The 24,441-nt window shown below is 38.8% G+C and overlaps 1 protein-coding gene across 5 annotated transcripts in view; it reads left to right on the plus strand.

The window, feature by feature from the left end:
- Positions 1-24,441, plus strand: part of AR (androgen receptor) — a 186,599-nt gene that overhangs the window by 76,227 nt on the left and 85,931 nt on the right. For 4 of the 5 annotated variants that reach the window (NM_000044.6, NM_001011645.3, NM_001348061.1 and 1 more), the window contains one exon: positions 23,009-23,160. The exons of the other annotated variant lie outside the window; for it this stretch is intronic. In NM_000044.6, the coding sequence (NP_000035.2) occupies positions 23,009-23,160 (152 nt within the window). The remainder of the gene's footprint in view (positions 1-23,008; positions 23,161-24,441) is intronic. 5 annotated transcript variants of the gene reach the window in all.

Here is a 24,441-nt window from a genome sequence, read left to right on the forward strand (position 1 = left end):
TTAAGATAGGTTTTGGTTTTTTTTTTCCCCAGGGTTTTTATACATTTTGGGTAAGGGCAAGTGGTAAATGCTGCTTTTCTGCCTTAACCAGTAGTGTCTGACAGAGGAGGTAGCATGATGATTGCAGAGCTCACTGGACTGAAAGTCAGATGCTTTACCCGCCTAGACTCTAGTACCAAGGGGAAGATGGAGTGAGATGGGGTAAATGGGGAGAAATTACCATTTATTTTGAGTGTGCCAGGCCTTTTCTCATGTATTGTCTAATGCATTTGTCACAATTCTCTTTGGGTTTGAAATGTGATTTTCTTCATTTTATAGATAAGGAAACTTATGGGAAGGGAGGTTAGGTTCATCTTGTGCCCAACTTTACATGGCTAGTGATCAATAATAGTGAGATTCAAACTCAGATTTCTCTGCCCCAAAGCCTTTGCTTTTTCCTCTTTTGACACTGTAACTAATGAGAAGATGTATTTAACTCTGAGTCTCATTTGCCTCAACTGTAAAATGGAGCTCTGTAACTCTTGCTCTGTATGACAGTAAATCTCCTCAGACCAGACTTATGATAGGGGATAAGGATATTTGTATCTTTGGGCCCCTAATGTATTGAAAGTGCTTCTAAGTGCCTGGCACATAGAAGGGCACTCAATAAATATTTACCACATTTTCCAGAAAGAGGGTAGCTCCATAATGGGTGAGATACATTTTGGTGGCTACTGTAGTGTTTAATGCTTTTACCATCTGTTAAAATGATTTTGGAGTATAGCTAGATAACTGATGATGGTTGTTATATAGATTTTTTCATAGGTTGCCTGTTCCAAATTCTATGCCGTGGAAGAAGTTAAATATCCAGAATTTGACAGGAAATATTATTCTACAACAGATCCCTGGCGTAAGAATGATAACACCTGTGTTCTAGTCTCAGACTTGCCTCTGAATAACTGTTTCTCCTGGTCAATTCTCTGTCTCTATCTAGGCTTGAAATTTCCCCCAAATGATGAAGGAGTTGGACTAGTTTAGTGGGGTTCAGCCTCGAGTGGCCATTAAAATTATTTGGGGATCTTTGAAAAAAATTAGATGCCCAGATTTTTGTCGTTGTTGTTGTTGTTTTTGTTTGTTTGTTTTTTAATTATACTTTAAGTTCTGGGATACATGTGCAGAACATGCAGGTTTGTTACATAGGTATACACGTGCCATGGTGGTTTGCTGCACCCATCAACCCGTCATCTACATTAGGTATTTCTCCTAATGCTATCCCTCCCTAGTCCCCTAACCCCAGACAGGCCCTGGTGTGTGATGTTCCCCTCCCTGTGTCTATGTGCTCTCATTGTTCAGCTCCCCCTTATGAGTGAGAACGTGCAGTGTTTGGTTTTCTGTTCCTGTGTTAGTTTGCTGAGAATGATGGTTTCCAGTTTCATCCATGTTCTTTCAAAGGACATGAACCCATCCTTTTTTATGGTGGCCTGATATTCCATGGTGTATTGAACTGCTCACTCCAGTTCAATTAAATCAGAATACAGAATGTTGAGAGGAGCATCAGTATTTTAAGAAGGCCCCCTAGTGAAGTTCAATGTGCAGCCAAGGGTGAGAAACACTGGACTAGATGATTGATAAGGGCCATCCAACTTTGATAGTCAACAAGAGACAATGCTATAGAGTATGGTGGACAGAGCATGGGCTTTAGAGTTAGCCAGGTATGCATTCAGACCCTGGCTCTGTTACTTACTAGTTGTGTGATCTTGAAGAAATCAAAATGGAGATACACTATGTACCTGGCAGTAATAGTTGTGGGGATTAAGCACCTTCACCAGAGCTTAGGACATAATAAGCCCCCAGTAAATAGCTTCTTTAATATCAGAAGTTCAGATGGAAGATGTGAGAAAAATATTGGTTCAGTAAGATTTAACAGGTAAATTAAAATCAAGTATTTGAAAACATTTTCCTGTTTCTTTAGCAATGGATTCCAGAAACATAATGTGGAAATAGCTCTCAGTCCTTAGATTTGATGACATTGCAGAAAGAAATCTGGCTAGTCGTCCCATGGCTGATTGGCTATGATGGCTAGAAAGCCATTGGAAAAAAAAAATTGGCTCACAGAAGACAGCAGATGTGGCTTGGGAAATGCAAGGACATGACTGTAATAAGGATTTGTCTATCCAGCCCCATTTATGAGAGTGATTCCAGGAGAAAAGGACAGATTTGTATTGTCAGTGGGATACGCTGTTAAAAAACACTTTTGCTACTACCACTCCAGCTGTCTTGGCATGTTTGTTGGTGATGTAAGCTACAGAAAATGGAAATCACCAATAGGGCTATAGCAACCTGATGCATAGTGACAAGTAATTGTTCTATTCATGGTTATGTGTTGTACAGAGCACTTGCTGCATGTCAGGTTTGAGACTTGAGTATGCATTAGGGCCATGGACACCCCCATCTTATCTTTAAGTAGATTTCAAAGTAAATATTTGATGAATATGTAAAATATTTAGTTTGGTCAGTCATAGGGCTGAGAACATGGTGGCAGTTACCTCCTAGTATCTGCAAGCAAAAAAAGTTTTTTCTTCCTATAGCAATTGCCATCTCAGCCACTTTTGCAGCATTTCTTTTTGCTACACTTTGCATTAACCATTTGTGCACTTGTCTTAGCCTCAAACAGGCCATGAAAGCTCCTTGAGGATAGGGGCTATGTCTTTTTCATCTTTATATATGCATCATTTAGCAGAGCTGTCCCTTTATAATGTACTAATTACTGAATGAAGGGATGCATAGATGAATAAATGAATGAAAAGTAGGAGTGACCTGTCTTCTCTCTTTCTTCACGATGGGGACTAGTGTGTGTATATAAGGGGATAATTTTTGTGTCACATAAAATATAACCTTACTTAGAAGGCAAGACTTCCAGAATGGTGGAATGAGAACCACCCCCCCGCCCCCATAAATCCGCCCTTTCATGAAAGCAGTGAAAACGCTAGCAAACGTTGTGAAAATTAACTTTTCCAGAACTCTGGAAAGGAAACAGAGGCTTCCAACAATCTGAGAAGAATGTATTCAAGAAAAACTTCGGTAAGCTCTCTGATCACAGTGGAAATAATAAACAATTAGTAATAGAAGGATAGTTGGGAAATTCACCATTTGTGGGATATAAACAGTGGATCAAAGAAGAAATCATAAGGGAAATGAGAAAATACTTTGAGATTAATGAAAATGAAAATACATTGTTCCAAAACTTACAGGATACAGCCAAGCTAAAGCAGTACTTAAAGGGAAATTTGTAACTGCGAAGGCCTATATCAACAAAGACAAATGATCTCAAATCAAGAACCTAACCTTCCACCTTAGACTAGGAAAGGAACAGCAAACTACAAAGAAAGCAGGAAGAAAGACTAATAAAGACTAAAAGGGAAATAAATGAAATAATAGAGTAGAAAAACACTAGAATCAATGAAATTAAACATTGATTCTTTGAAGAGATCAACAAAACTGAAAAAAACTTTAGTCAGATTGAATAAGAAAAAAAGAGAGAAAATTCAAATTATCAAAATGAGCAATGAAAATGGGGCCATCACTACCTACCTTAAAAAGAATTTTCAAAGGATTAAAAGAAAATGCCATTGCATTAGTTCATTCTCACACAACTATAAAAAAGCTACCTGAGATGGGGTAGTTTATGAAGAAAAGCGCTTTAATTGACTCACAGTTCCACAGTCTGTACAGCAGGCATGGATCATGAGGCCTTAGGAAATTTACATCAGGTGAAAGGCTAAGGGGCATGGAAGACATGTCTTCACACGGCAGCAGGAGAGAGAGCAAAGAGGGAAGTGCCACACACTTTTAAACCATCAGCTCTCATGACAACTCACTCACTATCATGAGAACAGCAAGGGGAAAATCTGCCCTCATGATCCAATTACTTCCTACCAGGTCCCTTCCCCAACACTGGAAATTACAATTCAACGTGCGATTTGGATGGTGTGACACAGAGCAAAACCATATCAACCATACTGTATGCCAAAAAATTAGATGACCTAGATGAAATGGACAAATACTCAGAAAAACACAAACTATCTAAAGTGACCAGTGAAGAAACAGAAAATCTGAGTAGTCCTGTAACAAGTCCTGTAACAAAACTGGATTAGTAATTAAGAAACTTCCCACAAAGAAAAGCCCAGGTTCAGTCTTCACTGGTGAATACTATCAAATATTTAAGGAAGATTTAATCCTTCACAAATTATTTCAAAACTTGGAAGAGGCTGGAACCCTTTCCAACTAATTCTGCAAAGTCAGCATTACCCTGATGCCAAAACCAAAGATATGACACAAAAATAAAACTGCAGGCTAATATCACATTTGAATATAGATAACTTTCTAAAAATCTCAACAAAATGCTAGCAAACAGAATTCAGCAACAAATAAAAAGGGTTATAAAGGGTGACCAAGTAGGATTTATCTCTGGAATGTAAATTAACATTCAAAAACCTAAGAATAGGAGGAAACTTTCTTAACTTTGTAATGGACATCTCTGAAAAACACACAGCTAACATCATACTAAATAGGGAAAGATTGAAATTTTTCCTTGTAAGATCAGGAACAAGACAAGGATGACTGTTCTCACCATTTCAATTTACCATTGTATTGTAGATTCAAGTCAAGGCAATTAGGCAAAAAAAAAAAAAAAAAAAAAAAAAAAAAAGAAAGAGGTAAAAGGCACCCATATTGGAAAGGAAGAGGTGAAAATATCTATATTCACAGATGACATGATCTTATACAAAGAAAACCTTAAGGAATCCATGATAAACTATTAAAACGAGTAAACGAGTTCAGCAAGGTTTCAGAATACAAGATTAATGTGCAAAAATCAATTGTATTTCTGTACACTAGCAATGAGCAATCTGAAAATGAGATTAAGAAAACAGTTCACTCACAATATAATCAAAATACCAGAATACTTAAAAATAAATTTAACAAAAGAAGCGTAAGACTTGTATGCTGCAAACCACAAAACACTGTGGAAAGTAATTAAAAATCTAAATAAATAGAAAAACATCCCTTGTTCATGTACTAGAGGACTCAATATTGTCAAGATGGAAATACTCCCCAAAGATTGAAGGAAATCCCTATCAAAATACTGGCTGTTTTCTTAGCAGAAAATGAAAATCTGACCCTAAAATTAATATTTAAATACATGGAACCTAGGATAACCAAAATAATATTGAGAAAGAAAAACAAAGTCGGCGTACCCATGCTTCCTGATTCCAAACCTTATTACAAAGCAGTGGTAATCAAGAGTGTATGGTATTGGCATAAGGACAAACAGATCAATAAATGGAATACTATTGAGAATCCAAAAGTTAACTCTTACATTTAAGACCAATTGACTTTCAAAAGTGTTGCTAAGACATTTCAATGAGGAAAGAATAGTCTTTTCAATAAATTGTACTGGAAAAATTGGATATCCACATGAAAATAAAAGATTTTGGACCACTTCAAACCTGCAAAAAAAATAAAATGATCTCATGGTGTATCATGGATCTAAATGCTATAGAGCTAAGATGATAAATCTCAGAAGAAAATATCAAAGTAAATCTTTATGACCTTGAAGTAGGCAATGGTTTTTTGGCTATAACACCAAAAGCACAAGCAATAAGAGAAAAAAAATTTTTTTAAAAAAACCCTTGATTATTTTATTAAAATTTTGTTGTGGGTACAAAGTAGGTGTGTATATTTATGGGGTATATGAGATATTTTGATACAGGCATACAATGTTCAATGATCATATTAGGATAAATGAAGTATCCAGTACCTCAAGCATTTATCATTTGTGTTACAAACAATCCAATTATACTCTTTTAGTTATTTTTAAATGTACAGTACATTATTATTGTAGTCATTCCCTTGTGCTATCAAATACTATATGTTATTCATTCTATCTAACTATATTATTGTACCCATTAACCATCCCCACTCCCCTGCCTCCCAGCTACACTTCGTAGCATCTGGTAACCATGATTTCCTCTTATCTCCATGAGTTCAGTAGTTTCAGCTCATGGAGATAGACAGAACTAATTTTATTAGCTCCCACAAATTAGCTCCCATGTCAGAACATGTAAAGTTTGTCTTTCTGTGCCAGGTTTATTTCACATAACATAACGAACTCTAGTTCCAACCATGTTGGTGCAAATGACAGGCTCTCTCTTTTTTTTTTTTTTTTTTTTTTTTGAGATGGAGTCTGGCTGTCTCCCAGGCTGGACTGCAGTGGTGCAATCTCAGCTCACTGCAAGCTCCGCCTCCCAGGTTCATGCCATTCTCCTGCCTCAGCCTCCTGAGTAGCTGGGACTACAGGCACCCGCCACCATGCCCGACTAATTTTATATATATATATATATATATATATTTATTATTATTATACTTTAAGTTTTAGGGTACATGTGCACAATGTGCAGGTTAGTTACATATGTATACATGTGCCATGCAGGTGCGCTGCACCCACTAACTCATCATCTAGCATTAGGTATATCTCCCAATGCTATCCCTCCCCCCTCCCCCACCCCACAACATTCCCCAGAGTGTGATGTTCCCCTTCCTCTGTCCATGTGTTCTCATTGTTCAATTCCCACCTATGAGTGAGAACATGCGGTGTTTGGTTTTTTGTTCTTGCGATAGTTTACTGAGAATGATGATTTCCAATTTCATCCATGTCCCTACAAAGGACATGAACTCATCCTTTTTTATGGCTGCATAGTATTCCATGGTGTATATGTGCCACATTTTCTTAATCCAGTCTATCATTGTTGGACATTTGGGTTGGTTCCAAGTCTTTGCTATTGTGAATAATGCCGCAATGAACATACGTGTGCATGTGTCTTTATAGCAGCATGATTTATAGTCCTTTGGGTATATACCCAGTAATGGGATGGCTGGTTCAAATGGTATTTCTAGTTCTAGATCCCTGAGGAATCACCACACTGACTTCCACAAGGGTTGAACTAGTTTACAGTCCCACCAACAGTGTCAAAGTGTTCCTATTTCTCCACATCCTCTCCAGCACCTGTTGTTTCCTGACTTTTTAATGATTGCCATTCTAACTGGCGTGAGATGATATCTCATTGTGGTTTTGATTTGCATTTCTCTGATGGCCAGTGATGGTGAGCATTTTTTCATGTGTTTTTTGGGTGCATAAATGTCTTCTTTTTAGAAGTGTCTGTTCATATCCTTCGCCCACTTTTTGATGGGGTCGTTTGTTTTTTTCTTGTAAATTTGTTTGAGTTCATTGTAGATTCTGGATATTAGCCCTTTGTCAGATGAGTACGTTGCGAAAATTTTCTCTCATTTTGTAGGTTGCCTGTTCAATCTGATGGTAGTTTCTTTTGCTGTGCAGAAGCTCTTTAGTTGAATTAGATCCCATTTGTCAATTTTGACTTTTGGTGTTTTAGACATGCTTTTGGTGTTTTAGACATGAAGTCCTTGCCCATGCCTATGTCCTGAATGGTAATGCCTAGGTTTTCTTCTAGGGTTTTTATGGTTTTAGGTCTAACGTTTAAGTCTTTAATCCATCTCGAATTGATTTTTGTATAAGGTGTAAGGAAGGGATCCAGTTTCAGCTTTCTACATATGGCTAGCCAGTTTTTCCAGCACCATTTATTAAATAGGGAATCCTTGCCCCATTGCTTATTTTTGTCAGGTTTGTCAAAGATCAGATAGTTGTAGATATGCGGCATTATTTCTGAGGGCTCTGTTCTGTTTCATTGATCTATATCTCTCTTTTGGTACCAGTACCATGCTGTTTTGATTACTGTAGCCTTGTAGTATAGTTAGAAGTCAGGGAGTGTGATGCCTCCAGCTTTGTTCTTTTGGCTTAGGATTGACTTGGGGATGTGGGCTCTTTTTTGGTTCCATATGAACTTTAAAGTAGTTTTTTCCAATTCTGTGAAGAAAGTCATCAGTAGCTTGATGGGGATGGCATTGAATCTATAAATTACCTTGGGCAGTATGGCCATTTTCACGATATTGATTCTTCCTACCCATGAGCATGGAATGTTCTTCCATTTGTTTGTATCCTCTTTTATTTCCTTGAGCAGTGGTTTGTAGTTCTCCTTGAAGAGGTCCTTCACATCCCTTGAAAGTTGGATTCCTAGGTATTTTATTCTCTTTGAAGCAATTGTGAATGGGAGTTCACTCATGATTTGGCTCTCTGTTTGTCTGTTATTGGTGTATAAGAATGCTGTGATTTTTGTACATTGATTTTGTATCCTGAGACTTTGCTGAAGTTGCTTATCAGCTTAAGGAGATTTTGGGCTGAGACAACGGGGTTTTCTAGATATACAATCATGTCATCTGCAAACAGGGACAATTTGACTTCCTCTTTTCCTAATTGAATACCCTTTATTTCCTTCTTCTGCCTAATTGCCCTGGCCAGAACTTCCAACACTATGTTGAATAGGAGTGGTGAGAGAGGGCATCCCTGTCTTGTGCCAGTTTTCAAAGAGAATGCTTCCAGTTTTTGACCATTCAGTATGTTATTGGCTGTGGGTTTGTCATAGATAGCTCTTATTATTTTAAAATACGGCCCATCAATACCTAATTTATTGAGAGTTTTTAGCATGAAGCGTTATTGAATTTTGTCAAAGGCCTTTTCTGCATCTATTGAGATAATCATGTGGTTTTTGTCTTTGGTTCTGTTTATATGCTGGATTACATTTATTGATTTGCGTATATTGAACCAGCCTTGCATCCCAAGGATGAAGCCCACTTGATCATGGTGGATAAGCTTTTTGATGTGCTGCTGGATTCCGTTTGCCAGTATTTTATTGAGGATTTTTGCATCAATGTTCATCAAGCATATTGGTCTAAAATTCTCTTTTTTGGTTGTGTCTCTGCCCGTCTTTGGTATCAGGATGATGCTGGCCTCATAAAATGAGTTAGGGAGGATTCCCTCTTTTTCTATTGATTGGAATAGTTTCAGAAGGAATGGTACCAGTTCCTCCTTGTACCTCTGATAGAATTCGGCTGTGAATCCATCTGGTCCTGGACTCTTTTTGGTTGGTAAGCTATTGATTATTGCCACAATTTCAGATCCTGTTATTGGTCTATTCAGAGATTCAACTTCTTCCTGGTTTAGTCTTGGGAGGGTGTATGTGTCAAGGAATTTATCCATTTCTTCTAGATTTTCTAGTTTATTTGCGTAGAGGTGTTTGTAGTATTCTCTGATGGTAGTTTGTATTTCTGTGGGATCGGTGGTGATATCCCCTTTATCATTTTTTATTGTGTCTATTTGATTCTTCTCTCTTTTTTTCTTTATTAGTCTTGCTAGCAGTCTATCAATTTTGTTGATCCTTTCAAAAAACCACCTCCTGGATTCATTAATTTTTTGAAGGGTTTTTTGTGTCTCTATTTCCTTTAGTTCTGCTCTGATTTTAGTTATTTCTTGCCTTCTGCTAGCTTTTGAATGTGTTTGCTCTTGCTTTTCTAGTTCTTTTAATTGTGATGTTAGGGTGTCAATTTTGGATCTTTCCTGCTTTCTCTTGCGGGCATTTAGTGCTATAAATTTCCCTCTACACACTGCTTTGAATGTGTCCCAGAGATTCTGGTATGTTGTGTCTTTGTTCTCTTTGGTTTCAAAGAACATCTTTATTTCTGCCTTCATTTCGTTATGTACCCAGTAGTCATTCAGGAGCAGGTTGTTCAGTTTCCATGTAGTTGAGCGGTTTTGAGTGAGATTCTTAATACTGAGTTCTAGTTTGATTGCACGGTGGTCTGAGAGATAGTTTGTTATAATTTCTGTTCTTTTACATTTGCTGAGGAGAGCTTTACTTCCAACTATGTGGTCAATTTTGGAATAGGTGTGGTGTGGTGCTGAAAAAAATGTATATTCTGTTGATTTGGGGTAGAGAGTTCTGTAGATGTCTATTAGGTCTGCTTGGTGCAGAGCTGAGTTCAATTCCTGGGTATCCTTGTTAACTTTCTGTCTCGTTGATCTGTCTAATGTTGACAGTGGGGTGTTAAAGTCTCCCATTATTAATGTGTGAGAGTCTAAGTCTCTTTGTAGGTCACTAAGGACTTGCTTTATGAATCTGGGTGCTCCTGTATTGGGTGCATATATATTTAGGATACTTAGCTCTTCTTGTTGAATTGATCCCTTTACCATTATGTAATGGCCTTCTTTGTCTCTTTTGATCTTTGTTGGTTTAAAGTCTGTTTTATCAGAGACTAGAATTGTAACCCCTGCCTTTTTTTTGTTTTCCATTTGCTTGGTAGATCTTCCTCCATCCTTTTATTTTGAGCCTATGTGTGTCTCTGCATATGAGATGGGTTTCCTGAATACAGCACACTGATGGGTCTTGACTCTTTATCCAATTTGCCAGTCTGTGTCTTTTAATTGGAGCATTTAGTCCATTTACATTTAAAGTTAATATTGTTATGTGTGAATTTTATCCTGTCATTATGATTTTAGCTGGTTATTTTGCTCGTTAGTTGATGCAGTTTCTTCCTAGTCTCGATGGTCTTTACATTTTGGCATGATTTTGCAGCGGCTGGTACCGGTCGTTCCTTTCCATGTTTAGTGCTTCCTTCAGGACCTCTTTTAGGGCAGGCCTGGTGGTGACAAAATCTCTCGGCATTTGCTTGTCTGTAAAGGATTTTATTTCTCCTTCACTTATGAAGCTTAGTTTGGCTGGATATGAAATTCTGGGTTGAAAATTCTTTTCTTTATGAATGTTGAATATTGGCCCCTACTCTCTTCTGGCTTGTAAAGTTTCTGCCGAGAGATCTGCTGTTAGTCTGATGGGCTTCCCTTTGAGGGTAACCTGACCTTTCTCTCTGGCTGCCCTTAACATTTTTTCCTTCATTTCAACTTTTTTGAATCTGACAATTATGTGTCTTGGAGTTGCTCTTCTCAAGGAGTATCTTTGTGGCATTCTCTGTATTTCCTGAATCTGAATGTTGGCCTGCCTTGCTAGACTGGGGAGGTTCTCCTGGATAATATCCTGCAGAGTGTTTTCCAACTTGGTTCCATTCTCCCCGTCACTTTCAGGTACACCAATCAGACATAGATTTGGTCTTTTCCCATAGTCCCATATTTCTTGGAGGCTTTGCTCGTTTCTTTTTATTCTTTTTTCTCTAAAGTTCCCTTCTCACTTCATTTCATTCATTTCATCTTCCATCGCTGATACCCTTTCTTCCAGTTGATCGCATTGGCTCCTGAGGTTTCTGCATTCTTCACGTAGTTCTCGAGCCTTAGTTTTCAGCTCCATCAGCTCCTTTAAGCACTTCTCTGTATTGGTTATTCTAGTTATACATTCTTCTAAATTTTTTTCAAAGTTTTCAACTTCTTTGCCTTTGGTTTGAATGTCCTCCCATAGCTTGGAGTAATTTGATTGTCTGAAGCCTTCTTCTCTCATCTCATCAAAGTCATTCTCTGTCCAGCTTTGTTCCGTTGCTGGTGAGGAACTGCGTTCCTTTGGAGGAGGAGAGGCGCTCTGCTTTTTAGTGTTTCCAGTTTTTCTGCTCTGTTTTTCCCCATCTTTGTGGTTTTATCTACTTTTGGTGTTTGATGATGGTGATGTACAGATGGGTTTTTGGTGTGGATGTCCTTTCTGTTTTTTAGTTTTCCTTCTAAGAGACAGGACCCTCAGCTGCAGGTCTGTTGGAGTACCCGGCCGTGTGAGGTGTCAGTCTGCCCCTGCTGGGGGGTGCCTCCCAGTTAGGCTGCTCAGGGGTCAGGGGTCAGGGACCCACTTGAGGAGGCAGTCTGCCCATTCTCAGATCTCCAGCTGCGTGCTGGGAGAACCACTGCTCTCTTCAAAGCTGTCCAACAGGGACATTTAAGTCTGCAGAGGTTACTGCTGTCTTTTTGTTTGTCTATGCCCTGCCCCCAGAGGTGAAGCCTATAGAGGCAGGCAGGCCTCCTTGAGCTGTGGTGGGCTCCACCCAGTTCGAGCTTCCCAGCTGCTTTGTTTACCTAAGCAAGCCTGGGCAATGGCAGGTGCCCCTCCCCCAGCCTCGCTGCCACCTTGCAGTTTGATCTCAGACTGCTGTGCTAGCAATAAGCAAGACTCCATGGGCGTAGGACCCTCTGAGCCATGTGCGGGATATAATCTCCTGGTGCGCCGTTTTTTAAGCCCGTCAGAAAAACGCAGTATTTGGGTGGGAGTGACCCAATTTTCCAGGTGCCGTCTGTCACCCCTTTCTTTGACTAGGAATGGGAACTCCCTGACCCCTTGCGCTTCCCGAGTGAGGCAATGCCTCGCCCTGCTTCGGCTCACACACGGTGCGCTGCACCCACTGACCTGCGCCCACTGTCTGGCACTCCCTAGTGAGATGAGCCCGCTACCTCAGATGGAAATGCAGAAATCACCCGTCTTCTGCTTCGCTCATGCTGGGAGCTGTAGACCTGAGCTGTTCCTATTCGGCCATCTTGGCTCCAGAAAAAAAAATTGTTAAATTGGACTTCATCAAATTTGAAATTTTTGTGCTGCAAATGATACCATCAAGAAAGTGAAAATCTCACCCACAGAATGAGAGAAAGTATTTGCAAATCATATATCTGATAAGGGTATTGAATTTAGAATATATAAAGAACTCTTGCAACTCAATATAAAAAGACAACCCAATTTTAAAATGGGCAAAGTATTTGAATAGAAATTTCTTGATAGAAGATATACAAATTTAAAAATGCTCAACATCATTAGTCATTAGGGAAATGCAGATCAAAACCAAATTGAGATACCGGTTTACACCTATTAAGATGGCTATAGAATAAAAGAACAAATAACAAGTATTGGCTTTAATGTGGAGGAGCCAGAACCCTTATATATTGCTGGTAAAATGTAAAGTCATGCAGCCCTTTGAAATACAGTCTGCAAGTCTTTAAAAAATTACTATTTGTTATTTGGTTTTTCTTCACTTTTAATTTAGGTTCAGAGGTACATATGCAGGTTTGCTATATAGCTAAATTGTGTGTCACAGGAGTTTAGTGTACACATTATTTCATCACCCAGGTAATAAGCATGGTACCCAATAGGTAGTTTTTCTATCCTCACCCTCCTCCTACCCTCCACCATCAAGTAGGCCCTGGTGCCTCTTGTTCTTTTCTTTGTGTTCATATGTACTCAATATTTAGCTTCCACTTATCAGTGAGAACATGTGGTATTTGGTTTTCTGTTCCTGCTTTAGTTTGCTTAGGATACTGGCCTCCAGATTCATCCACGTTGCTGCAAAGGACATGATCTCATTCTTTTTGCATAGTATACTATGGTGTACATGTATCAAAAATGTTACTGTTTGACCTAGTAATTCTATTCCAAGGTAAATACTCAAGAGAAATGAAAACATGTCCACACAAATACTTGTACACAAATGTTCATTGCAGCATTATTTATAATAGCCAAAGAGTGGACGACAAATGTCTTCCAAATGTGGGCTCCAAATGTCCACCAACTGATAAATGGAAAAACAAAATGTGGTATATCCATGCCATGGTTTATCTGTCAATAATAAGAAATGAAGTACTCATACATGCTCCAACATGGATGAACCTTGAAAACATTATGCTAGGTGAAAAAAGCAACTCACAAAAGACTACACTGTATGATTTTATTTGTATTAAATGTCCATAAAAGAAAAATATTTAGAGATAGAAAGGAAATTAGTTTTTCCAGGGTCTGGGAGGAGACAGTATGAGGAGTGGCTGCTAATGGGTACAGGATTTCTTTTTGGAGTGATATAATTGCTCTAAAATTAGTTTGCAGTAATAGATGTGAGTATGCTAAAATGGGTGAATTTTATAGTATGTGAAATATAACTCAGTAAGCCCATTAAAAACAACCTAATTAAATTAAAACCAAGCTATAACAGAAATATTATATGGCTTTGGCAGTTTAGAATAGTGGGAAAATATGGAGTAAGGGTGGGGAAATAGTCCCAAGTATAATTCTGGTTTTGTCACTACTAGTGTATGGACTTGGACAAGTCATTTGCTTTCTCTAAGTATCAGTTTGCATATATGCAAAATAGAGGTAATGATACCTACCTCAGTGGTACCTTTTCAAAACCTTGTTCTTCCTCATCTCTCCTCTACCACTTTCTCATAATATTATTACAGTAATAACCATTTATTAAGCACTGTGTCCGCAGTGGTGTGGGGCTGCTTTACCTCCACAACTTCACTGAATCCTCACTGCAGTCTTGTGGGATCTTTATTTCTTTGCCCATTTTACATGTAAATAAATTGAAGTCAAATGAGTTGTTCAAGGTCCTTCTGTTAGCAAGTGGCAGAGATGGACATGAAAACTAGATCTTCTACCTATGTGTCTTTCCACTTCAACTAAAGAATTTATTAAAGAGAATTGAAAAGCTATGAACTAAATTTCGGTAATACTTTTAATAGTAAACATTGCTGCCCTCGTGAATGAACACACACTAAATTTCAAATCTCACGGTGGCAGGGAATAAAGATGCTACCTATCTTAAGCCATTACTTCACCAACTTCTCCACCAAAATATTCCTTGTAACCACAAATAAGTAAGCACAATAGATCTATAAGGAGAGAATAATTGTGAACTCTGATTTTATCTTAAAAAGTCATGTAGGGATGTCATGTTCCACAATGTGATTAATAAAATATATTTTGTTACTAAACACAAGGAAAAATATTATGTTCCATAAAGATGTTTGGTGGTTGCCTCGACCTCTTTTAGTTTGAAAAGTAGGTATGTATGAGAAAGATATGTGTTTACATGTTTACCCTTGCCTTCTCTCTGTCTCTTCCCCTCTCTCTCCCTCCCTCCCCAACCCCTATGCCCTACACCCCCGCAACCCCCACATGTATTTACCTTTCTCTAAAAGCTCTGCATAGCCAAGAAAAGTGCTCTTTTTTATTTTTAGGATATTAGATATTTCATTTTCTTATGGTAAGACAAAAGATTAAGGCAACCAAGACTTACAATGTGCCTACCATGTGGCAGGCACAGAGGCAAGGGCTTTTACATGTTATTTAATGTAATTGTAATTCTCACAAAAGCCGTCTAGAGTTGAAAATATTTCCAACTCTAAATGAGGCAAATGGAGCACAGAGAGCCTTAATTATTTCACCCAAAGTTCAGTGGTAGAGGCAGGATTCCAACCCAGGTCTGGTGGGCTCCAAATCCTTGTTGGGTTGCCATTCCTCTTGCTAACAAATAAAACTGGTCTGTGACTTTTGCATTTCACCCCGCTTCCACAGTCACTGGTGGGACTTACTTAAGTTAATCAGATTCTTCAAAGTATCCCCAAGTCCTCCTTTGAAAAGAAAGTTGGGGGACAGGAGGAGGAGCAGAGGAGAGGAGATAAAAAGGAAAGGAGTCAGGGAGAGAGAGAGAGAGAGAGAAACCTGGTGATCTCAGCTGGGTGCCAAGGTTTCCTAAGCCCAAGTTCCCCATGGTTGAGCCTGTATTGTCAGGCCAACAGCTTCTAGTAATCCACTTTTATTTAATTAATAGTGAAACTGTTGAAGAATTGCAAGTGGTGTTCTGGTTCAGAAACCTTCCGTTCTATGGGGCACTGCTTTTGCTTCAGATTCATAAAACCAAATGCTCTGCCTCAAGATAATAAGTGAACGTGTAACCCTCGGGAGGTAAGAAAAAACACAATGTCACGTGCAAATTCTGCACTTGTTCTCAAAGCAAACCTCTCCTGTGTTTGCAATTAGGATGTTATCTAGGAGCATATTCAAAACTTTTGAGGTTTTTATTTTAGTTTTTCTTTCATTATGTGCTGTTTTAGTAATATCAAAGAATACATGTAATATATAATTTATATGTCATAACAATAAAATTAATGTTGATGAGCCCAGATTAAAGAATCAACAACATTAACATCATGATTGCATCAACCCTATTAGAATGGAAGCTCTGTGAAGGCATGGATTTTTGTCCATTTTGTTCACTGCTATATCCCCAGGACCTAGAGGAGTGTCAGCCACATAATAGGAGCTTAGTCAATATTTTAAAAATAAGAGCATAAATCTACTTATATCCTCTTTCCTCTTACCATCACTCCCAGCCTCCCCTCAGAGGTAACCACTATCCTATATTTGGGCTTTATTATTCCCTTGCATTTTGATAAGTTTTCACATGTATATTCCCAAATAATATATTGCTTGCTTTTGCTTCTTTTTAAACTTTATATAATGGAATCATATTGTATGTATCCTATTGTGAATTATGTCTTTTACACAACATTAGTATTTGAGATTCAACTATGTGTAGCTCGATTCCATTCCTTTTCATTGCTGATTGTAGTTTATTGGATATGTGTGCCATAAATTATTTTTCTCCTGTCAGTTAATGTTTATCATTTATGCTTTAATAAACAAAACTGCTATGACTGTTCCTGCATGTGCCTCCTAGTACATATGTGACCAACTTTCTCTAGGATATAAGCCTGAGAGAGGGACTGCAGTTGGAATTTACATTTCCAAAGCCCAAAGTTTAGCTCATGAGTCAGAGCTGCAATGTGCCCTTTGTCCACACTAGGTCAGGATCAGTGGGAGTGCTACCCAAAATATTTTGCTAGCTGGGGAGTCAGGGAGAAGCAGAGACTGACCTAGTGAGGCCAGGAGGCACTATCTCAGGTCTCTAGTCAAAATGGGTTGCAATTAGTAAAAGTCCAGATTCTGAATCCCCTTCACTATTTATCTTCCTCTTCCTCCTTTACAGTTATTTTTGTTCAAGGTGCACTTTATTAAACTCATGCCTAACAAACAAAACTCTAATGAATATTTTGTCTTTCATTGATTGTAAATTCAATTAATTAGATTGCTTGAAAAAATTTTAACTGTATTTTCACTTTAGTATGGATGAAAATTTCGATTTCTTTAAAAAACATTTTTTAATAATAACACAACATAAAGTCTACCCTCATAACAAAATTTAAGGGCACAACACCATATTGTTTTTTTTTTATTTTATTATTATTATACTTTAAGTTTTAGGGTACATGTGCACAACGTGCAGGTTTGTTGCATATGTATACATGTGCCATGTTGGTGTGCTGCACCCATTAACTCGTCATTTAGCATTAGGTATATCTCCTAATGCTATCCCTCCCCCCTCCCCCCACCCCACAACAGTCCCCAGTGTGTGATGTTCCCCTTCCTGTGTCCATGTGTTCTCAATGTTCAGTTCCCACCTATGAGTGAGAACATGTGGTGTTTGGTTTTTTGTCCTTGCCATAGTTTGCTGAGGATGATGGTTTCCAGCTTCATCCATGTCCCTACAAAGGACATGAACTCATCCTTTTTTATGGCTGCATAGTATTCCACGGTGTATATGTGCCACATTTTCTTAATCCAGTCTATCATTGTTGGACATTTGGGTTGGTTCCAAGTCTTTGCTATTGTGAATAGTGCCGCAATAAACATACGTGTGCATGACAACACCATATTGTTAACTGTAGGCACAATGTTGTACAGCAGACGTCTAGAACTTTTTCTTCAGGCTTAACTGAAACTTTATAGCCATTGAACAGCAACACTCCATTTCCGTTTCTTAAAGGTCCTTTACAAAATGAGCTTTCTGCGTGTTTCCATTTTGTTTATCTGATAACTTTTTTTTCTTTTTTTATTATACTTTAAGTTCTGGGGTACATGTGCAGAATGTACAGGTTTGTTACATAGGTACACACATGCCAGGGTGTTTGGCTGCACCTATCAACCTGTCATCTACATTAGATATTTCTCCTAATGCTATTCCCTCCCTTGCCCCTCACCCCTCACTGGCCCCAGTGTGTGATGTTCCCTAGCCTGTGTCCAAGTGTTCTCATTGTTCAACTCCCACTTTTGAGTGAGAACATGCAGTGTTTGATTTTCTTTTCTTGTGTTAGTTTGCTGAGAATGATGGTTTCCAGCTTCATCCATGTCCCTGCAAAGGACATGAACTCTTCCTTTTATATGGCTGCACAATATTCCATGGTGTATATGTGCCACAATTTCTTTATCCAATCTATCATTGATGGGCATTTCAGTTGTTCCAAGTCTTTGCTATTGTGAATAGTGCCACAGTAGACATAAGTGTGCATGTGTCTTTATGGTAGAATGATTTATAATCCTTTGTTTATATACCCAGTAATAGAAATGCTTGGTCAAATGGTATTTCTAGTTCTAGATCCTTGAGGAATTGCCACACTGTCTTCCACAATGGTTGAACTAATTTACACTCCCACCAACAATGTAAAAGCGTTCCTATTTCTTCACATCCTCTCCAGCACCTGTTGTTTCCTGACTTTTTAATGATCACGATTCTAACTGGCGTGAGATGGTATTTCATTGTGGTTTTGATTTGCATTTCTCTAATGACCAGTGATGATGAGCTTTTTTTCATGTTTGTTGACCGCATAAATGTCTTCTTTTGAGAAGTGCCTGTTCATTTCCTTCACCCACTTTTTGATGGGGTTGTTTGTCTTTTTCTTGTAAATTTGTTTAAGTTCATTGCACATTCTGGATATTAATTAACCTTTCGTCAGATGGATAGACTGCAGAAATTTTCTCCCATTCTGTAGGTTGCTTGTTCACTCTGATGATCGTTTCTTTTGCTGTGCAGAAGCTCTTGAGTTTAATTAGATCACATTTGTCAATCTTGGCTCTTGTTGCCATTGCTTTTGGTGTTTTAGTCATGTAGTCTTTGCCCATGCCTATGTCCTGAATGGTATTGCCTAGGTTTTCTTCTAGGGTTTTCATGGTTTTAGGTCTTACGTGACTCATCTTGATTTAATTTTTGTGTAAGGTGTAAGGAAGGGGTCCAGTTTCAGTTTTCTGCATATGGCTAGCTAGTTTTCCCAACACCATTTATTAAATAGGGAATCCTTTCCCCATTGCTTGTCTTTGTCAGGTTTGTCAAAGATTAGATGGTTGTAGATGTGTGGTATTATTTCTGAGACCTCTGTTCTGTTCCATTGGTCTATATATCTGTTTTGGTACCAGTACCGTGCTATTTTGGTTACTGTAGCCTTGTAGTATAGTTTGAAGTCAGGTAGCATGATGCCTCCAGCTTTGTGCTTTTGGCTTAGAATTGCCTTGGCTATGCAGGCTCTTTATTGGTTCCATATGAAATTTAAAGTAGTTTTTTTATAATTCTGCGAAGAAAGTCATTGGCAGCTTGATGGGGTTAGTATTGAATCTGTAAAACACTTTGGGCAGTTTGGCCATTTTCATGATAATGATTCTTCCTATCCATGAGCATGGAATGGTTTTCCATTTATTTTTGTCTTCTCTTATTTCCTTGAGCAGTGGTTTGTAATTCTCCTTGAAGAGGTCCTTCACATCCCTTGTAAGTTGGATTCCTACATATTTTATTCTGTTTGTAGCAATTGTGAATGGGAGTTCACTCATGATTTGGCTCTCTGTTTGTCTGTTATTGGTGTATAGGAATGCTTGTGATTTTCGCACACTGATTTTGTATCCTGAGACTTTGCTGAAGTTGCTTGTCAGCTTAAGGTGATTTTGGGCTGAGAGAATGGGGTTTTCTGAATATACATTCATGTCATCTGCAAACAGAGACAATTTGACTTCCTGTTTTCCTATTTGAATATCCTTTATTGCTTTCTCTTTCCTGATTGCCCTGGCCAGAACTTCCAATACTATGTTGAATAGGGGTGGTGAGAGACGGCATCCTTGTCTTGTTCTGGTTTTCAAAGGGAGTGCTTCCAGTTTTTGACCATTCAGTATGATATTGGGTGTGGGTTTGTCATAAATAGCTCTTATTATTTTGAGATATATTCCATCAATACCTAGTTTATTGAGAGTTTGAGCATGAAGCAGTGTTGTATTTTGTCGAAGGCCTTTTCTGCATCTATTGAGATAATCATATGGTTTTGTCATTGGTTCTGTTGATGTGATGGATTATGTTTATTGATTTGTGTATGTTGAACCAGCCTTGCATCCCAGGGGTGAAGCGGACTTGATCGTGGTGGATAAGCTTTTTGATGTGCTGCTGGATTGGGTTTGCCAGTATTTTTTTATTGAGGATTTTTGCACTGATGTTCATCAGGGTTATTGGCCTGACGTTTTCTTTTTTTGTTGTGTCTCTGCCAGGTTTTGGTATCAGGATGATGCTGGCCCATAAAATGAGTTAGGGAGGATTCCTTCTTTTTCTGTTGTTTGGAATAGTTTCGGAAGGAATGGTACCAGCTCCTCTTTGTACATCTGGTAGAATTCATCTGTGAATCCTTCTGGTTCTGGACTTTTTTTGGTTGGTAGGCTATTAATTACTTCCTCAATTTCAGAACTTGTTATAGTTCTATTCAGGTATTTGACTTCCTGCTTTAGGCTTGGGAGGGTATATGCGTTCAGGAATTTATCTATTTCTTCTAGATTTTCTATTTTATTTGCCCCAGAGGTGTTTATAGTATTCTCTGATGGTAATTTGTATTTCTGTGGGATCCGTGGTGATATCCCCTTTATCATTTTTTATTGCATCTGTGATTCTTCTCTCTTTTCTTCTTTAGTAGTCTGGCTAGTGGTCTATCTACAAAATAGACTGTTTATCTGATATTTATTTTGTAATTATCTAATAATAACCATCATTATCATCATCAGCATTATCATTATCATCTCCTTTACCCATACATACATTTGTGTCTTTCAAATAATAATCCCATCTTTGAAGTGCATCCTCATCTTTAGCAGTCTGCACTCTGCTTTCTTATATCATTTATTATCTTATTTTATAATTATTTATTTCCAGTCCTTCTTCTCTAACAGATAGTAGTTTCTTAGGGCCAAGGAAATATCTCGATCACCACTATATCCCCAGCACCTAACCCTGTGCCTGGTCCATAGGGCCAGATGCTAAGAGTTGAGTTGAACCATTGTACCTAATCTTAACCTTCATTAGCACAACATGGTTTGTCAGTGGTTAAGAATCTACACTTTGGAGTCAGACTCACCCAGGATGGAATCCTGGCATTGCCACTTATTATTAATAGATGCGTGATCTTGAACAAGTTTACTTAATTGTTCTGAGCATCAGTTTCCTCTTCTGCAATATAGGGATGATACACAGCTACCTGGTAGGTTGTTGGGAAAATTAAATGGGATGATATGTATGAAATGGCCTGGCATATAGAGTGCCTAAATACATGTTCTTCTGATTCTATTTGGACAGTTTGTGTTAGTAACAGAAGTCAAAAAGGTGGAGAAAGGAGAAAGGTACTTGTGAAAATTTTCTATTTCTTCTCCATGTTTCATTCAGGACTGAGGAAGGGGGCACAGTTTTTACCCAAGGAAATGACATTTTTAGCCAAAAGAAATGATCTTAGCATTTAGCTGAATTATATATTGGAAGTAAGCTCCTTCCATGTGGAACTTATGGCCTTGCTAGCCTTGGTTTGTTGGAAGTGCTCTTGCTGGCTTTCTAGTTAGGGTAGGGAAAGGAAGGCTTGTGGGGAATGAAGATAGGCCATGATATCAAGCCACTGGGTTTGCAAATCAGTAGAATTTTTTATTGCTTTCTGTTGTACTTGGGACTTGAATAAAGGCTGATATTTGTGTCTTGCTGGTAAAGTGCTTGTAAAGTGAGTGAAAGTTTTCTTTGCTCTTGTCCTGACATAGCTGTTCACTTGGGGTTGAGGGGAGGATAACCTTTCATGTTTTTTTTTTTTCTTCATTCTGATGACTGTGCTGAACATTCAAACCAAAAGGCCATTGGTGGAAAGTAAAGGTGAGTGGTGAGAAGACAATAGGGTAATGGAAACTGTGTTGGACTTGTAATCAAATTGTCCTGCACTTCCCCTCTCCAAGTCTTAACGTTTTTCATCTGTACAGTGGATATTAAAATGAGAAAATAAGCTTGTCTTCACAGAGTTTTCGTTAGGTGTTGACACAACAAACAGGCTCCCATTAGGGCTCATTTTCCTTCATTCCTTAGTAAGGAAGAAGTGCTTATAAAATATAGCAGTTGTGCTCTTGTGAATGATAGCATGGGCAGTTGTCATCTCCCTGAAGCAGATGTAACCCAGAATGTCACTTGAGTTTTGTTTAATGCTTAGGCATAAGACATAGGAATGACAAAAGCTGACCTTTGGGTAGTGAGAACAATGTTCCATTTTGTTCAAACTTGAATTTTTTACTATAGGAGACTGAGAATTAACCTTCCATGAAGGTTTTAGGATTGGCTTTCTGGCCCTTCTCCTTCATATCCACCTGAAAGAGCTTGGGCGCAGAAGTTCTTGCAGAAAGGCAGTTAGACAAGGTGACTTCTGAAGCTCCAGTGGCCAAGTATTTTGATGGTAGCCTAAAAGATGTCCAGAATCATTGTACATCATTTTTTCAACAGAAGCTTCAGGCATAGGGATTATGCTTGGTACTTTATGTTGTGGAATGGAATCTGGCGGATGTCCATGTGATCTATAGAAACACCTAAGGAAAGTGAAGAAATGAGGGAAAAAAAAGAACAAGACTTTTATGATAATACTAATCACGATCCTTGTGTATTTATTCCAATGGCATTTTATCCATTATCTGATTTATATTACCACTCACAGCAGCAGCTCAATAGGATGGGAGATATTATCTCTATTTTATAGATGAGATTTGAGGCTCACGAAGCTAAAGCAAGGAACATCAAATCACTTTGATATTTGGTCTGGTTTTGTTATAGGTCTCCCTTTGGATGAGGTAAAGTTACAAACCTGGGTTCATATCATTTAATTAGTCTGAAAATGTTGCCTGGACACCACCTTCAGTTAGATATCTTAACCTCAGGCTTCCTGCCTTCATTGCTCCCGCATATAGACATAGACTATGAGATTGGCTAATCCCAGAGAACTTCCCTAATCCCTTGGCAAGATCCAAAAAGGCTCAGTCACACCCTACAACCATCATCTTTAGGAGAAGTCTCAGAAAATTCAGCTTCACACTAACTAACTTGAGCAATGAATAATAGTCATTTATGCCTGCAGGTTAATGCTGAAGACCTGAGACTTCACTTGCCTATTTCTGCCATTCAGTGACATGTGTTGCATTGGTTTTTTGTGTCTTTCCAGTTTGGAGACTGCCAGGGACCATGTTTTGCCCATTGACTATTACTTTCCACCCCAGAAGACCTGCCTGATCTGTGGAGATGAAGCTTCTGGGTGTCACTATGGAGCTCTCACATGTGGAAGCTGCAAGGTCTTCTTCAAAAGAGCCGCTGAAGGTAAAGGGTCTTGCACATGCACTTCTCTTTCCCTTTCTCCTTTACCTTCCAGAGAGAGACACTAACCTTTCAGGGCCCAGGATTTTATCATCTCAGAAATAGAGTCATTGGCAAGGCCCTATCAAATAACTTAGGAGCCTAAGGAAGCAAATTTTTGTACTTGCTAGTTCCCTGGTTTCAGCAGCCTTGTTTGTACAGGCAATTTAGGCAGTGAAGGTGGTCCCAGCTGGGGCTTGGGGCTCAGTGGGTCCTAGAAATGAAAGAAAAATTAATGATTTGAAAAGATTTAATTTCCTCCCTTCTTGTTTTCTACTCTGCTGGCTAGTAAAGGAAAAATTTGTCCTTATTAGAGAGGTTAGAAGTGGAGAAACCCCAACTGAGTCCCCAGCCTGTTCCTTGGGATGAATATGAGACTGTTCCTTAGCAAAGGCTTCCTGGCCTCGGCCCCAGAAAGGGAGTGTTCTCACTCTTCAGCAGACTATCAGTCTCTGCACCTGCTCCCTCCTGTTGTGGCCTCCTTGGGACCTGTCTTTGCATTAATAGTTCCTAGGTAGGTAAGAACTCAGAGTGAAGAAACACATTTATTCTCCTCTCCAGAGACCTGATCTCAAAGCCTGTCCATTAGTCCCTAACCTTAATCTAAGGTAGCATCTTATATCTGGCTAAATTGGCTCAAGCCCTAGCTCCTTAGTTTTATTTAGCTTAGAACAACTCATGTCTGCTCAACCTCTAGAGGCGCTCAGCCCACATTCTGCAGTAGAAACTCCCATTTTCAGGCCTCTTATATACGGTAATGTCTCCTTCCTCTAACCACCCAGGGCTTAAGCTTCCTGCTTATCCACTTCACCCTGTATTGAGGGCTTTCTTCTCAAAGAGACATTGATGAGGAGCCCCTAGAGAGAGATGCTGTGCTCTGGGACCAGACCCCTTGTTAAACACCAGTATTCACCTCTGCCCCAACTTTCCCCAAAGAGGTACTTCCTGCCAAGGCCTTTCTCTTTCCTCTCACTGGCTGGAAGTGTTGAGTTCCACTTCAGAACCAGAACAGAGAACCTTTCCTTCTATAAGAGCTATAAACCTTGAGAACAGTCTTAAAACATAGGTATGTAGGCCACACCATTCACCACGAATGTACTGATACTCATCAGAATATGGAAGAAGCACCAGAGAGTTTGAAGCATCTAGAGAAAAGGTAGAAAGAGAATGCCCTTTAACTGACCTCCTCAGTGATAGCCAATCACAATGATGAGTGTTGATTCATCATTTTGGCTAGGTGGCAGA

This window comes from Homo sapiens, chromosome X (assembly GCF_000001405.40).
Source record: "Homo sapiens chromosome X, GRCh38.p14 Primary Assembly".
In the NCBI taxonomy this organism is placed as follows: domain Eukaryota; kingdom Metazoa; phylum Chordata; class Mammalia; order Primates; family Hominidae; genus Homo; species Homo sapiens.